Source organism: Homo sapiens, chromosome 7 (genome assembly GCF_000001405.40).
Source record: "Homo sapiens chromosome 7, GRCh38.p14 Primary Assembly".
In the NCBI taxonomy this organism is placed as follows: Eukaryota; Metazoa; Chordata; class Mammalia; order Primates; family Hominidae; genus Homo; species Homo sapiens.
The window spans coordinates 153,398,876-153,414,979 of NC_000007.14; the positions used below are offsets into that span (position 1 = coordinate 153,398,876).

Here is a 16,104-nt window from a genome sequence, read left to right on the forward strand (position 1 = left end):
TTCTGTGAGAGCCATAGACTGATTTGTGAGGTAGCCACCTGGCCACCCTAGAGGGCCCTACCCTAAGGTAGCTGTGTGCTAGTTTATGCCTATGTGGCTGATCACATGGTCCCATGGTGGGCTGGGAGAGGTAAAGTAGAGAAATGGAGGTCAGGGTATGGGGGGAAGGGCAAACTTGGGGATGTGGTAGGAAGCCCTTGTCCAGAATTCACATGGGTGAAGACATTGAGATACCTGGCCAGAGGCCCTGGAAGACCACGGCTCTTTAGCCTGGAGATTCTTTCCCCTGGGACCAGTCTGGACAAGGGTGTGGAATGCCTGTGTCTGCGGAGCGTGGCGAAATTCTTTTTTTTTTTTTTGAGACCAAGTCTTGCTCTGTCACCCAGGCTAGAGTGCAATGGCACCCTCTCAGCTCACTGCAACCTCTGCTTCCCAGGTTCAAGTGATTTTCCAGCCTCAGCCTCTTGAGTAGCTGGGATTACAGGCACCTGCCACCACGCCAGGCTAATTTTTGTATTTTAAGTAGAGATGGGGTTTCACCATATTGGCCAGGCTGGTCTCAAACTCCTGACTTTGTGATCCACCTGCCTTGGCCTCCGAAAGTGCTGGATTACAGGCATGAGCCACCGCGCCTGGCCAGAAATTCATTTTTATTTGGAATATAAACTACAGTGAGCAAATTCATGTTTATTTGGTCTATTTGGAAATGTTTGGGAAAGAAACTGCAGTAAGCATTTGCCTGCCTATGGGGCCTCTTGTGCAGCCATCTCCCACTTTCTCTGTGTGGGCATTTCTACAGCAAAGTGAATTAGGCTTCCTGCTGTGCCACCACAATTAGCTGTGTGTCTATCTCCATTGTTAACATCCAATCAAGCAACAGGAAATAGCTGATTAGGTACATTTCTTTCATCTGGAGAACTATGGGCTGAGCCTTTTCTTTCAAAGAGGGTGGGGTGGACAGCATTTTCCCTTTGGTGATGAACTCTTGTTCCAGAAAGTATAAAACCCACTTACGCCAACACTGAAAAACCAAACCCAGAATGTCAAGATAGCAAATATATTTATGTTATACTGCTTAGGGGAAACATTAATATCGTATGTATCAACCTTGTAGAGCAAAGCTTTAGAGCTACTTATGAACCCTGGAAATTAAAAGGGAGCAAAACTGGGGGACACTCTCTCCCCCGTGAGGAGAGTTTGGCCATTGTCACATTACCCAGTGGTATTTATTAAGGTCTGCATGTGTTCTGTTGCTTGCTCTGCAGAAGAAAATGTATTGGGGTAATAGCAAAGGCGCACGTACCCAGGGCCAGTGCTGGGTTTGATGGACGTCCGCATGGCGGTCAGCGTGTGTCGCCAACTGTCTTTGTTTCTCTGTCAACATTCCCTTTCTCCTGCCTGTTCAGGGTTCCTGTCTCAGAATAAAAGCCCCAGAAGGACCATGACTTTTTTTTTACTGCTCAGTTCAGGTAATACACAAGGCTATAGTCATTTTTTATGGCCAACAGTCTTGATTCTGAAATTCGAATGTGCATGCCAAGATGTTAATCAAAATTCTGAACTTGACTCGCAGCTAAATCTTCCACCCTTCCCCAGTATGGGTCTGTGGGGAGGGGATGTGACTTTTGTCCTCTCTGCTTTTCCCTGTTCACCTCCTTCCACACTCAGGAGCTGAAATAGAGGGGAGAGAAGGAGGAAGGCCTGAAGGTGTGTAAGGCTTACAACGACTCTTGGAGGCTGCAAAATCCTCTTTTGTCCTCTTGAGTGTACACTTTCTGAGACCTCTTCAGCCCTTTGTCTCAATCCAGTGGACCAGACCCCAAAGGACTCCACCCAGCTCCCTGTCTCCTATAAATACTCGCCCCTTGTTCAATGAACTCCAGGAGTGTGAGATGACCCGTCTACAAATGTACTCGGGCTCTGCTTCCCGAGTGCAACTGCAGGGGTGACCTTCAGCATCTGGAGTGGTGAGGACTCCAAGCCTAGTTCACTGTCTCTGCATGGATGGGGCACCCGGTCTCCTTCTCTCCCAGTTCCCAGGACCACAGGTGGAAGCCGTCTGCCCTCAAGCTCCTGCCACCTCACCTCCCGCTCCTGCCCAGCTCCGTGGCTCCGGCAGCCCTGCCAATCTGTGCAGACCCTACAGAACCTCGTCTCAGGGCCTTGGCGCTGGCTCTTCCCTGTGCCGGAAAGACATTTCCCTCAGTTGCCTGCGTGGCTAATCCCTTTCCTATTTGTTCAAAAGTCACCCTTTTAGCAAGTTCTATTCTGGCCACCATATTTAACTTTCTCCTGTCCTGCCTCCAGTCCTGTACCCCTGAGTCTGCTCTATTTTTTTCTATGGTGCTTATCACTTTCCAACCTACTGTGCTATTTACCCGTTTATTATATGTATGCTGCTGATGCACCTGCTTCCAGTAGGATGGAAGCTTGAGAGGGCAGGGGTGTTGGTCTGCACTGCTCACCGTTGGATGCTAGATGATTAGAGGGATGACTCAAAACGTCAGTGCTCCGTGAGGTTTTGCTGAGCATGCAAATGAAGCAGCAATCTCTCAAAATCCTCTTTTCTCTCGTGTAACTCTTTCCATGTTTGAAGTCCTGGATATTGCCTTTTAAAACTTATATATTTTGATTTGGCTACTCTCTTTATGCAACTTCATATCTAATTCAGCTGTCTATTGGACATTCAAGTTAATAACCCTTTCAGTATTTTTTCGTAGAAAATGGTGGAATTGTGTTACTATTTTTCATGATTTTCCGCAGGTTTCATATTTAAAAAATTAAAGTAGTCTTGATTAGTTTATTTTCCCTGGGGCCTGGAAATGACAGAATTTAACACGTGAGCCAAAAGGTCAAATAATGTGAAAGTCAGTGTCCGGTTGGACAGAATATTCATAGTGGGTGCCTCTTGTCCTCCTCCTCCAGCCTGAGATCTTGTGCCCACCCATCTGCCCTGTGCATCTCTGCCATCATCACCACCCCCGTTGTCTGTATTCAGAATGACTCGCTGTTCCCCCCACACACCGTGCACTTTAGTCTCTCCTCCTCCGCACCTGCTGGGGAGCCTCCCGGGGAAGCCGCTTCTTTTGTAACCCTGCCTCTTTCTTTTCAGGACACAATTTTCTCACCATCTCTTCCTGGATGCCTTTCTTCATTCCCGCATGTTAGCTGTCACCCTCCTCTGGTCATCATCCTGCACCTGCCTGCATTACAGACTGTTACATTGCACACTGCACTGAACAATTCATATATCTATATAAAGTAATTCTATCATATATCTATCGTCTATATCTATCTATCTATCTGTCATCTATCTGATTCCCTTTCTCTTTCTTTCTATCATGTATCTATCTATCTCTATCATCTTTTTTATCTATATCTTTCTATTATCTATTATCTATCTATCTGTCATCTATCTGATCCCCTTTCTCTTTCTATCATGTATCTATCTATCTCTATCATCTTTTTTATCTATATCTTTCTGTCTATTATCTATCTATCTCTATCATCTTTTTTATCTATATCTGTCTATTATCTATTATCTATCTATCTATCTATCTATCTATCTGTCTATAATCTATTTATCTAAAAGCCAGAAGGACCTGAGGGCAGTTTCTATGAATCTTTTTTTCTTCATATTTATAGTCCTAGGAACAACCACAGAGCTTGGAAAACACCCAAATGCCTTGAGGGTAGAGTCGATGACTTATTTCCATTTGTGTATTTCCTGTACCTATCAAGGCACTCAATTATATTGAATGAAAAACTGAATGGATACAATTTGTCTTCACAGACCAAGAATTCCCTAGCCCCTGTAAAACTAAGCTGGCTCTACTCTTCCTTTCTGGGGCTCACCATATCTAGCTCCATGCTTGCTGTTGTCCCGTGTGTGCGTTTGCTGTAACTGCTGTGTGTTTCCCATGTGTGTTGTGTGTCTCCCGCCTAAGTTCCTTTGGCATCCTTGCCAGCCCACAAGACCTAGACTCTGATCCCACCTCTCAATGAACTGTGTGTCCTCAAGTACATCAGAACCTCTCTGAGCTCTGCCTTTTTATTGTTAACGTAGAGAAAAATCTATGATGCCATTAGGCTTTACTGCAACCCCAAGAGCTCAGTACTGAGTGGAGTCTTGTGGTTGGTGAGGTGCTCTTGAGACTCTTGCCCACAACTTTTCTGCCCTTGAACTTGCTTCTGCCTTCTTGGCATGTGGCCAGGCCATCCCAGCCTCACACCCCACAGCGCAGAGGATCCCAGAGCACTCCCTGTAAACCCACAGAGGCCCCTGCAGCCTGCACACTTCCCAGATCTGAGCAAAGCTGGGCTTCTGGCTGCCTTGTCCTTGCTAGATCAAGCTCAGAGGTGCTCAGAGTCATGCTGGGAGGGTCTCCTTCCATCACCAAGAATGGAAGGCACTGACTGGGCCTGTGAGTTACAACCAACATCCTCAGCAGCCTCCTCCTATGGGGCCCTGGACCCCTCTAGCTCACCTGGCATCCTTCTTTCCCATGTCTACAGCCGGCTCCTTGCCTGGCATGAAACAGAGCAGGGGGTACAGCTGAGCCTTTCACGGCAGTTTTCTCTGCAGCATTTTAAACTGCTCATGGCAAAGTCTTTTCCCTAGAAAGAAAGGCCATTCTTGCCCCTCTCCTTCTCTCCAAATATTTGACTTTCAAAGGATATTTTTGAAGTCCCTGATACAAGCTACTGTATTTGTGCTATAACTACAGGGGCAATGGGTGCCAAAGGGCACCAGTCACCATTTCGGTGCTTGAGAAAAAAAGGACAGATCATATTTATTTATGTGTCTCTATTTGTAACTCAAAGTAGAACAAAGAAAGTGCTGAAAATGGTGGGTAAGTTATGTCGTGAGCAGCACAAGGCCAGGCATAGCCAAATCCACACACGTTTGTCTCTCTCCACAGGGTCAGACTTTACCAATGCTATTTCAATAATAAAAACCACGGGCTCTGTGGGGTTCCTGAGGAGGCAGTTGTCTTTAGGCCTCCCATGCACTCAGGAGTCAGAGCCACTGTGGCATGCAGGCTCAAGCCACTGCACAGGCCAGTCAACATTGCAAACCATGCATGATAGTATACTTAATCAATCTATAAATGTTATAGATGAGAGTTTTCACATCAAACAGAGTGACATTTAACATCAACAGAAAATGGGATAACGAACCAGTAAAAGGAACGTGGTGTGGACAAAGAGCACCTCTTGGGTGGATCCTGACAGTCCTCAAGGGAGAGTCCTTCAGGTGGACACTTCCTTTGGTGCTGATCACAAGTGACAGTAAGATGTGTATGGAGGTGGCTGTGTTGAGCTGGTGAGGTCTTGCTCTTTGATAGACCATGAGTCCTGTGGTGAGGACGATAGTAAAGGGTCACACCCCCATCTGATTGGATGCCATCTCTTGATTAGGTGCACATCTGGTCCCTGCTGGCATGATGCCTTTTGAAGTATAAGATGGGGTCATGTTTTAAGACAGAGTCACTTATGCCAATGATGCTGTATGTAATGTACCCTCATGTGACTGGGGGACATTATGTTAACCTGTGTAGGGGGTGCTTCTACCAATGACCTCAAAGATTAGAGATCTTCCAAAAAAGAAGGCCATGTCTTTATAACTCCCAGGGCACGGTATGTTGTAGACTCAAATATTTGCTGAATATTGGAGTTTTGAGAAAGGAAAGATCAAGTTTGATTTGGCTGACTATTTCCACTCTCCTAGAAAAAGTAGAAAGAATGTTTTACGGGCACTGAGGCACTCAATTGAAACCCTGGTATGGTTGCAGCAGACTATGTACAACCAACGCTCTGGCAGGAACTCGGCTGTTCAAAAAGTGGGGAAGAGGTTCCTGCTCATGGAGGCGGAGGCTCCTGCTCCCCTGCCTGGACTGTGCTTCCCCTGTGGAGCTTATTCCCCACTCAGGCCTCAGCTATGAGGCACCTGCTATGCCCACACTGTCTACACTGGCTTTCCCTGGTTACTCATAATTTTTACACTCCTTTTATAAATTTCATAGCACTTGATGTAACCTGAGATAACTTGGCTTATTCACTTTTTCTTGATTATTGCTGCATTTGTGCATGGGAATGTAGGCTCCCAATGGACCAGGCCCACGTCTCAGTCACTGCTCACCCCGAGTCCCTGATACAGTGTGGGGCTGGATGAGGCCTTCCATACCTGTGATTATCTGAGCTGACGGGAAGTAGCCAAACCCCTTTTGTGACCACAGTATGGAGGCCTCAGCTGTCACGACAGAGGGAGGCAGGTTTCCGGCATATGGCAGCTTGACAGTGCCCAAACAATCGGCTCCCCGTTCTCTTACGTCACTTCACAATGGCAGGGGCCTTTCCAGCACCCACTTCTAGGGCACACAGGGCCTTCCCGGCAAACACTCAAGATGATGCTTAGGTTTGGATCGAGATTTCTTTCTGAGGCCCTGACCCACATTCTGAGATAGAAGGCACTCTCCAGCGGCATTGTCTAAGTCTCCTATGTAAGACGATGTTGTCAAATATGGCAATAACCCAGCGATTATTTCTAATGCTCCTGAAAACTATGTACAGTAATCCCCAGCCCCACTTGCTAGCAGTGGATCTACAGGCTTACCTTTGGAGCCAGTGCCACCGGAATTTGGTCTTAGAATTTGTTGATTGCATTGTCCGAGTTAGAAGACTCACTCATGATGTGAACATGGGTTTTGCATCTCAGTTGATCTGTAAAATTCACAGCACCTCAGGAAATCTTTGAAAATTACAAATCTGATCACATCCCTCCTTTTCTCAAAGGGCTTTGATGACATCCCATTTTCCTGAGGATAAAATGTAAACTCCTTAGGTAGTTAAGAAGGTCTTCTAACACATCCCCTCACCTCCCCTCTTCTCACTCTCCTTATATCGTGGGTTCTGACCACGCAGACTTCTCTTCTGTTCTTAGGCAAGATTCATTGTCTCTGAGCTTTCACACATGGTGATCTTCCGCCTGGAACTGCACACTATTTTTTTTTGAGATGGAGTCTCACTCTGTCACTCAGGCTGGAGTGCAATGGGGAGATCTCAGCTCATTGCAACTTCTGCCTCCCAGATTCAAGCAATTCTCCTGCCTTAGCCTCCTGAGTAGCTGGGATTACAGGCGCCTGCCACTACGCCCAGCTAATTTTTTATATTTTTTGGTAGAGAGGGGGTTTTGCCATGTTGGCCAGGCTGGCCTCAAACTCCTGACCTTAAGTGAGGCACCGCACCTGGCCTAGAATTGTACACTTTTGTTTGCCTACACCTAATGGCTAATACCCATTACTGAAATCTCAGCATAAATGTCTTCTCTCCAGGGAGGTCTCCTGGGCCCACTGTCTGTGTCAGGACTCCTACTCTGGGCATCTCAGCAGCCTGTACTCACCACCATGGCAATCACGACATGTTATTATGTGTATCTATTTAGTGTCTACCTTCCCTGCTAACTGTGCATGTTCAGAGGAAAGGGGCCCTTTTGCCTCAATTCCTATTCCACCCCTCACACTAAACAGCATATTTGGCAAATGGAAGAATGAAGGAATAAATGAATGGGGACAGGAAGTTGGCCCAGGGGCTTTCAGAGGTGCTCCAGTTTTAGGACTCAATGATTTTCTCAGCTCCCTTGATTCCAGTTGGAACCTCTCCTAGTTCTTTTCCTAAGCCTTGCTCACTCGGTTTCTTACTTCTCTCTTTATATTAATTTGTTTACTTCTGAGCTCAAGATCTCTGTCAAATTATTCTTCATCAAGTCATCTGGCTCCTGGCTCATTACCAAATTAGCATTTTGAAAAACCACTCTGGCTTTGTGCATGCATGAGAGTACTCAGGTGCAGAAAGGGCTACATCGTGACGTGTGCACACTAGACAAGAGGGTGTGACATTTATATCAGTGACTACACGTCAATGTATAGGATTGGGTGCTTCAGAGCAAAGGACAGGGGCTCACGATTATTTTTCTCATTCCGTATCTGAGGGAGATAAGATTAATTCCATAAATATCAGCATTTTCTGTAGCATCAATTCCCAGGGAGACTAAAAAAGCCTGCCCTTGAAAGGAACCTACCAGCATCGGAACAGTTCTGCACCAACCCCTTCCTCCTTTGCAGAATTTTTATGAGAGCAGTATCTGCATTCAGAGTAGACTCTATGTGTTTGGTAGCATTTAGAGATGGTCGAGTGTCTTCATTTGTCTCTGAAATGGGATCCCACATAATATAACTTTGCAAGGGATAAATATTCTTAATATGATAAAATGACTATTTGTAATTTTTATTTGTTGATTAGTTACTGAGTTGTGCCAACTTTTTCTGGCAGGATTTAAAAATCCAGGCTGGTGTGCAGTGGCACAATCATGGCTCACTGCAACCTCTGCCTAGCAGGCTCAAGTGATTCTTGTGCCTCAACCTCCCGAGTAGTTGAGACCACAGGTGAGCACCACTAAGCCTGGCTAATTTTTGTGTTTTTAGTAGAGACGGGGTTTTGCCATGTTGCCCAGGCTGATCTCGAACTCTTGGTCTGAAGTGATCCTCCCTCCTCAGCTTCCCAAAGTACTGGGATTACAGGTCTGGGCCACTGTGCCCAGCTGTCAGTAAACTTTTTCTGTAAAGTGCCAGAAGGTAGAGAGAGTGTAGGCTTTGTGGGCCCATTCATATTCTTTGTAGCCACTACTTAGCTCTGTCATTGTAGTACAAAAGCAGCCATAGATAATGCACAAATAACATGCATGGCTGTGCTCCAGCAAAGCTTTATTACAGCAGTGGGTGGTGGGCTGGATTTGGCCACTGGGCTGTAGCTTGCTGATTCCTGCTTATAAAGGTATTGATACTCAGTAAACACCCCTTAATATAGTCTCCTTTTATAAATGTTCTCGTTACATGTGAAAAGAATGTTTAGTACACTGCTGGAGTGTTCTATATGTGTCAATGAAGTCAGCTAAGGTATAGTGTTGTTCAAGATGTTTATGTCCTCAATGTGTGTTTGTGTTTTTATTGTTTGTTTTTGTCTTTTTGTCTCCTTGTTCTAGCAATTCCTTAGGGGAGCATTAAAATCTCCATTGATATTGTGTGTGTGTGTGTGTGAGTGTGTGTGTGTGTGTGTGTCTAATTCCACTTTTTCTGACTTATTTCTTTCTTTTTGGTTCTACTAGAATTTGCTTCAGATATTTCAAATATCTGTTATTAGGTACATAATCATCTATAATTATGTCTTTTTAATGAATTAACACCTTTAAAATAAAATTCCATTTTTCTTCTTAGTTATATTCCTTGTTTTGAAATCTACTTTGTCTATTAACATAGCTACTCCAGCTTTCTTTTGATTCATCTTTTTACGATATTTATTTTCCCACCTTCTTACTTTTAACATAGCTACAATTTAAAGTATGTTTCTTGTATCCAGAACATAGTTTTACTTTTTGAACCAAGCTAGTAATCTTTGATTTTTTCTTTTGATGTTCAGCCACTTATATTTAATGTAATTGTTGATTAGTTTAAATGTACTGTTTTGCTGTTTTTTTCCTGTTTGTCCTATCTGTTCTTTATTCTTTTTTCTCCTTTTCCTGCCTTCTATTTGATTACTTGAGTACTTTTTTATGGATTCATTTTATCCCTCATATTGATTTATTAGCAATACAGGTTTCATTTAGTGTTTCTCTAGAGTTTCCAACATATGATTTAATTTATTGCAGTCTACCTTCACTTGGCATCATCCACTTCACCTGCAGCATAAGATACTTAAGACTGTAGACTTCCACTTTCCATCTTCTGTCCTTTGTGCCACTGTTGTTAGACATTTTGCTTTTACATGTGGTGGCTCTGAAATATGTCCTCTCAAAAGATGGAGTGTAATTCACCTCCCCTTAGTGTGGCCTGGACTTAATGACTTTCTACTAGAGTTTAGAACATGATAGGAATGTTGGTGTGTGACTTCTGACTAAGTCATGAGCACTTCAGCCTCTGCCCTGTTTTCTGTCTTGGATTCCTCACTCTGGGGAAGCCAGCTGCAGTGTCATCAGGACACTCACGTAGCCCATGTGGAGAGAAATAGGCCTGCTGCCAACAGCCAGTGAGGGTCTGAGGCCTCCCACCAACAGCCAGTGAGGTGGAAGCAGATTCACCAGCCACAGTTGAGCCTCCAGATGATGGTATCCTTCACTGACTCCATGACTACAACCTCATAAAAGACTTTGAGCTAGAACCACTCAGTTAAGCCACTTCCAAACTCCTGACACTTAATAGTTGCGACACAACAAATGTTTGTCATGTTTGGCCACTAAGTGATTAGTGTATTTTGCGATGCATCAATAGTGAATACAAACTAACTTTCATTGTTATCATTTTTTAAGCAGTCAATCATCTTTTAAAGAGATTATAAATTTCATATTTAACTACATATTTTCCATTTTTCCAATGCTCTCATTCCTTTTTGTTTGTGAAAATTTCTATCTAGTATTATTTTTCTTCTACTTGAAGAACCCTGGTGATTTCTTGTATCCGCTGGCAAAGAAACTGTGCTAGGATTGGGGCAAAACACATTATTATACAGAGAATTATAATTGGGATAAGGAAAGGGAGCATCTGTTGAGCCACGGTTGAAAACCACCAAGAAGGACCAGGGTGGAGGGTCGTAGGAGTGTTTTAACTCCTCTTGGAGCTTTTTTTTTTTTTTAAAGTTTGTAAACTGTTCTCAACTACCCCTGACTCATTGAGATAATAGCAGCATTCTTCCTGTAAGAATAAACATGTCCTTCCTTTTTCTGCCATAAGCAAGTCTAAGGCCTGCCTGTTCTGTGCTGCGACCTGTGCTACTGTAGTGATCTGTCGCTGTAGGGAGTCCAGGGACTCGGCCGATGCCTCAATGGCCAACTGCAGGTGAGTAGACAGATCTTGAGATGTTTGGATTGAGTGGGTGAGGGCTCCTTTTCCTAGCCCTGATGCCACTAAGGAGGAGGCTAAGGAGATGCCTAGTACTAAGGGTAAGAAAATAGCCCATTTGCTTTTATTTTGTGGCCTTGGCTCGGTCCAGGCTAGCAGATGGCTAAGTTCATCCTGACTATATAGGGTCAGGCCAGGGATGAGAGAGATGGGTAAGCACAAGGTGTGATTACCAGTTGAGTTAAGAACTTTAGTTAGCGTGGAGTTACACCAGAAGTAGCCTCTGGGCGGTGCCGGGGTGCTGGTAAGCATCCTAGTCTGGTTACACCAAGAGGCATTTGGGGTAGAGTAACAGAATGGGAACTTATGTCTTATAGGGTCTGAGAATAGTGGGACCTGTCCTTTTGGGACCGGTGGTATAGGGGTTGATGAATTTATAGTATAATTAAAGGGGGTAGGGAGAGGAACTGCTACTAATGGAGGTCTTCTGAGGGCTGCACAGAGGAAGCAGTGGGAGAGGTTTTGTACCCCTGTGGATTGGAGCAATTGTGCACCTTCTGAGATTAAAGTTAACCACGAGAAGCGGGAGGACTTGGCCTGGTCAGCTGCCGGTTGAAGCTGGCTGGTAAGCTCTTTCTCGGCTGACTGGATTGAGGAGGCTAAGTCGGATAACCCTGTGACAGTGGTTTTAAGGGTCCTGGCAATGCGGATCTTAGCTACTGGATACATAAAAGTTTTGTGCTCATATAGTCCTCCATCTACACCGGAGGCCCAGCGGGGGTCCCAAGGGTCAGAAATTTGGAGGTTAAATCCGTTAAAGCCGTCCCGTCCTCCAGTGGAGGTATTGACATAGAACATTGGGTCAGATCCTTTTTCAGTACGAATTAATGCCTCATGGATATTGCACCAGTGCCACGGACAGCCTACATTTTCTTTGACCCAGCTGGTATTGCATTTGGAGTTACTTTGATCATAGAGGAAGCAAAGTGCAGGGTTTTTTCTAGCCGGGCCTAGGGAAGAGAATTTTAGACCTAGGAAAGCTATGGGTGCCTGACACCCTGCTGGCGGGGATGCTGCCGTGGCTACTAGTCTAGAGGACACTGCCTGTCTGGAACTCCAATTCTCAGTGAGGGAAGAAAACCCAGTGAGAGGGAGTCTGAGAGGGGGCTTGTCAAAGCGAACTTCATGTTGGTGAAAGTTCTGGAGGGAGCCTTGCCATACCAGTTCGTCTATATAGGACAACAGATTTTCAGGCCAGTGAAGGGTGTTAGCAAAACTAGGGAATGACCAGCTTTCCTCGAGAAGAACCTGAATAAATTGTTGGAGCCTGTCACATGGAGAATTCATGCGGTATTTGATGGAGAGAGTTTCAGTTTGGTTGGGGAAAGGGAGGTGACAGTCCAAGTGGCCTGATGTTGTGTAGGTGCCTTCTTAAGATGGGAAATATGGTACCAGGAGGGAAGGCCTATAAGTTTAGCTGCCGTCGGTGTTGTAAGAATTACCGTATAGGGGCCTTTCCACTGGGGGGAGAGACCTCTTGCCTGGAGGTCTTTTACTAGTACCTGATCTCCTGGGGTTATTATGGCCGGACTGTCTGGGCTGAGTGGTCCGGGCTTTGGAAGGCTGTGGTCGGTGTGTTCTCTTAGCAGCTCCCTTAACAGGGTGAGGTAGGGCAGGTACGTGCCAAGAGGTGGGTTATTCACAGGGAGCTCTTGAAAGAGGAAGGGGCGTCCATATAGGAGTTCAAAGGGGCTAAGGCCTGTGGGGCTTCGGGGTGCTGCCTGGAGCCGTGCGAGGGGAAAGGGAAGTAAGGTTACCCACGATTGGCGCTTCTCGAGAGCCAATTTGATTAGGTGTTGTTTGACAAGGCCGTTGGCGCATTCCACTTTTCCAGAAGACTGCGGATGGTATGGAGTGTGTAGCTTCCAGTTAACGCCAAGTGTGGTTGTCACCTGTTTGACTATTTTGGAGATAAAAGCAGGCCAAATCTCGGGATTATCTGTTCAATGAGGGTTGAAGCTACTACCTCTGCTGTTTTATGGGTGGTAGGGCAGGCTTTAATCTAACCTGAGAAAGTGTTTACTAAAGTAAGAAGATAACTCGATGTATTTGCTTTAGTAAGGAATAGAAGGAAGGATGGTAGATTATGGGTTCAAGAAAGTTATATAGTGGTCTAGGCGGCAGGGCAGTGAAGGCGTCTGGCGGTAGGTGGAGGGAGTGCCATCAATCCTTATAACAGAGATTGAGGAGGGGCGGCTGGGCCTGCTAAAAGATGGCAAAACAGAGTAGGTAGCCCTTGTGTCTAGCAAAAAGGAAATGGACTTACCCGCTACCTGAAGCATTACCCTGGGCTCGGCAAGGGTGAGAGGGGTTCCCGAGCCTGGGCCTCTTCAGTCGTCATCCAGTTGGAGGAGCTAGAGGGCACCTTCGCCATCCAGGGAGGGGTCGCCATGTGGAGCCACAGCGGCCGCTCCGAGGCTGGGGCAGTCTGACCTCCAGTGCTCCATTTGTTGGCAGTTAGGGCACGGGTGTGTTGGCGGCTTGGGGTTTGGGCACTGTTTTGCCCAATGACCTGGATTGCCACACTTGAAACAGTTGCAAGGCGGGCAGGACGGTTGCTGTTGGCTAGGGCACCGGCTGGCCCAGTGTCCTGAGTTGCCTCACTTGAAGCAGACGCCAGACGGGGCCCGGGAGATTGTACCTCTACCTCTCCTGCCGCGGCTCTTAGGGAATGCCGGTTGCAGGGCAGCTGCCAGGGCTTGGGTTTGGAGCTGAACTTTTTGTTTCAGGCTTGCCTGTCGTTGTACCTCAGCCGCCTCCTCTCAGGAATTAAAAACTTTGAACGCCAGCTTTACTAAGTCCTGGATAGGGGTTTGGGGGCCCTCCGCTGCCTCATCCAGGATTAGTGGATATCACTGCCCGCAGCGAATGTGTTAGGAGTTGTAGATGCAGTGGACTGGTATGGCACTATAGGCAGGTGGAAATAAGAATGCGGGTAAGATGGAAGCCAAGGAGTTAGCTGGGCAGGGTTAAAAGAACAAATGGGAACTAATGGGAATTAAAATGGCAGCCGAATGGTGGCAGAAGAACTAAAATGGCAGCAGAGAAAAAAGGAAGTAAGATGGCGGCAGTGAGGAAGCAGGTAGTAAGATGGCGGCAGTGCAGAAGGAGATGGCGGCAGAGAGACTAAGATGGGGGCCCCGGACAGGATTAACGGCAAGAGAGGCTGGCCAGACTTCAAGGGGAAGGCTAGCCACAGGGACTTGTGCCAGCGAAAACACTTGGCGGCAGCGGTCCGACGAGAGCGGAGGTCCCAGAACCTTTGAACAAATTTGATTTTTGACTATTTGCCTCGCCTCTGACAAAAATTGGTAAGGTCGTTTAGGATATTGAAGTCGAGTGTGCCTTTGGGGGGCCAGCGAGATTGGTTGTCCAAGGTATATTGCAGCCAGGCAACTGTGCAGAAGAAAATTAGTCGCTTTCATTTTAAATCTTGATTGAGTTGTAAAGTTGGGAGGTTGCGCAGAAGGCACCCTAAGGGGGTGTTTTGCGTGATTTTGGACTGGGTGGACCCCATCCTCTTCCCCTTATGGCAGCGGTCTGAGGGACAGCAGAAGCATCCCTCTGGGGTCACTCAGACCACGCGGCTCCTGGAGCCTCGGATCGGCTACTTCAGACATGGACGTCTCTGAGTCGTCAGTGCCGATTTGGACTTCCCCTGGGGAAGTAAACTTGGGTCACCTGGTGACCCGGACTGGCCTTCCCTTGAAGAAGGAAACTCTCCCTGGGTGTGCGCATGACTCTCGGCCAGGGAGGAACGGACAAAAGGAAAAAGGAGGGGTACTCACCTAGCGTCGGCCGAATTGGACTGGAGTAGCTGCAGCAACTGCGACCTGGCAGCAAGTAACCGGACGAAATGGACAGATGGCCGTGGAGGAGAAGCCTGACCTGACTGAGGGAGAGGACTGATCCGACCAGGAGGGGAGTCCCCCTGAGCCTCTGGGGGGGCTTAGGAGGTGTCCCCTCCCGGGTTTCGGCACCAATGAAAGGCAATGGAAGGGCACCATGGATCAATAAGGCTGAGAGGTGAGAAAAAGAGGGCAAAAATCTTCTTTATTGAGCCCTCGGGCGAGGTTCACTGGTCCGCAGGGGGAGGGCCAGGGAAGTCGCGCTGTGCCAAAGGTGCAGCATGCTTTTATGGATGCTGGGTGAGGAGTGGGTGGGGTAGGGGCGGGGTCGGTTGAGTTTCGCGCTTCTGAGTGTGACACGCCCTAGTGGGCATGCACGTTAGTCGGGGTGGTGGGAATAGGAAAGGTGAACCCGGAAATGCTGAGTCAGGGTATCCGAGGTGGCAATCACCATCTTGGAGTCTTCACCGGAGTCCAATCAATTTCTTATAGTAAAAATCTGGTGGTGATTAATTTTATCTCAGTTTCATCCTCTAAAAAGTGTTTAGCCTTTAGTTTTCAAAAAAATCTTTTCATTTGGTACTAATTTAAATCTCATAGAAGTTACAAATTTAATACCAAGATTTCCCATATACCCTTTATCCAGTTTCCTCTATGATAACACCCTAAACATAGCACATTTATCAAAATGAGAAAACTGACATTACAACAGTACTATTAACTAAACTAAAAATTTAATTTGGATTTCACCCATTTTTACATGCACCTGCTTTCAGGGGCATATCATTCTCTGAGGTTTCATCACATTTATGGACTGGAGTAGCCACCACCACCACAGTGGGGGCTCTCTTTAATTTCCCCTGTTGTGCTGGGACCTGAAACTGCTTCAGGCTGTAATCTGGGGTTATGAGCAGGGTTATCTCATTTTTTTTTCTTTTTTTATGGTTCATATTTTTATACTGTCAAGGTTCAGTGCCTGAAAGTTATTATTACAGATATATTCATCCAGTTTTTGACTTGATTTTAGTGGAAAGAGAAATATGATACCTGCTATTTATTATGGATGGAAGTACATGTATACATGCAGGAAAAAATTTAATTGCTCAACTAACTTTCTCGGACACAGGTAATGGAGCTGACGAGCTGTCAGGCTGGTCTGTCTCTTCTATTGGAAGAGCAGCAGCTGGAACTTTGAATTTCCTCCTCTTTACTGGATCCCATATTAATATGTACATTATCCCTTAAATGGCCTACTGTTATCTCCTGATTTCCTGCATCAATCTATTTCCCCAAGTTAGAATTAGGTG

General features: G+C 46.1%; 1 long non-coding RNA gene across 1 annotated transcript, besides 1 other annotated feature; it reads right to left on the reverse strand.

Moving 5' to 3' along the window:
• Positions 1-1,043: 1,043 nt before the first annotated feature.
• On the reverse strand, positions 1,044-13,359 carry LINC01287 (long intergenic non-protein coding RNA 1287). Its single transcript, NR_125776.1, has 4 exons — positions 13,216-13,359; positions 8,081-8,209; positions 6,617-6,723; positions 1,044-1,671 (listed from the first exon to the last, which is right to left on the reverse strand). It is a non-coding gene; the product is annotated as a long intergenic non-protein coding RNA 1287 (long non-coding RNA).
• Positions 13,841-15,040: an enhancer, noted in NCBI's record as "MED14-independent group 3 enhancer chr7:153109801-153111000 (GRCh37/hg19 assembly coordinates)". NCBI's record gives its function as "activates an origin of replication core promoter dependent on BRD2, BRD4, P300/CBP and CDK7 cofactors, and independent of MED14, by STARR-seq in HCT116 cells {active_cell/tissue: HCT116}" and the evidence as "EXISTENCE:reporter gene assay evidence [ECO:0000049][PMID:35650434]".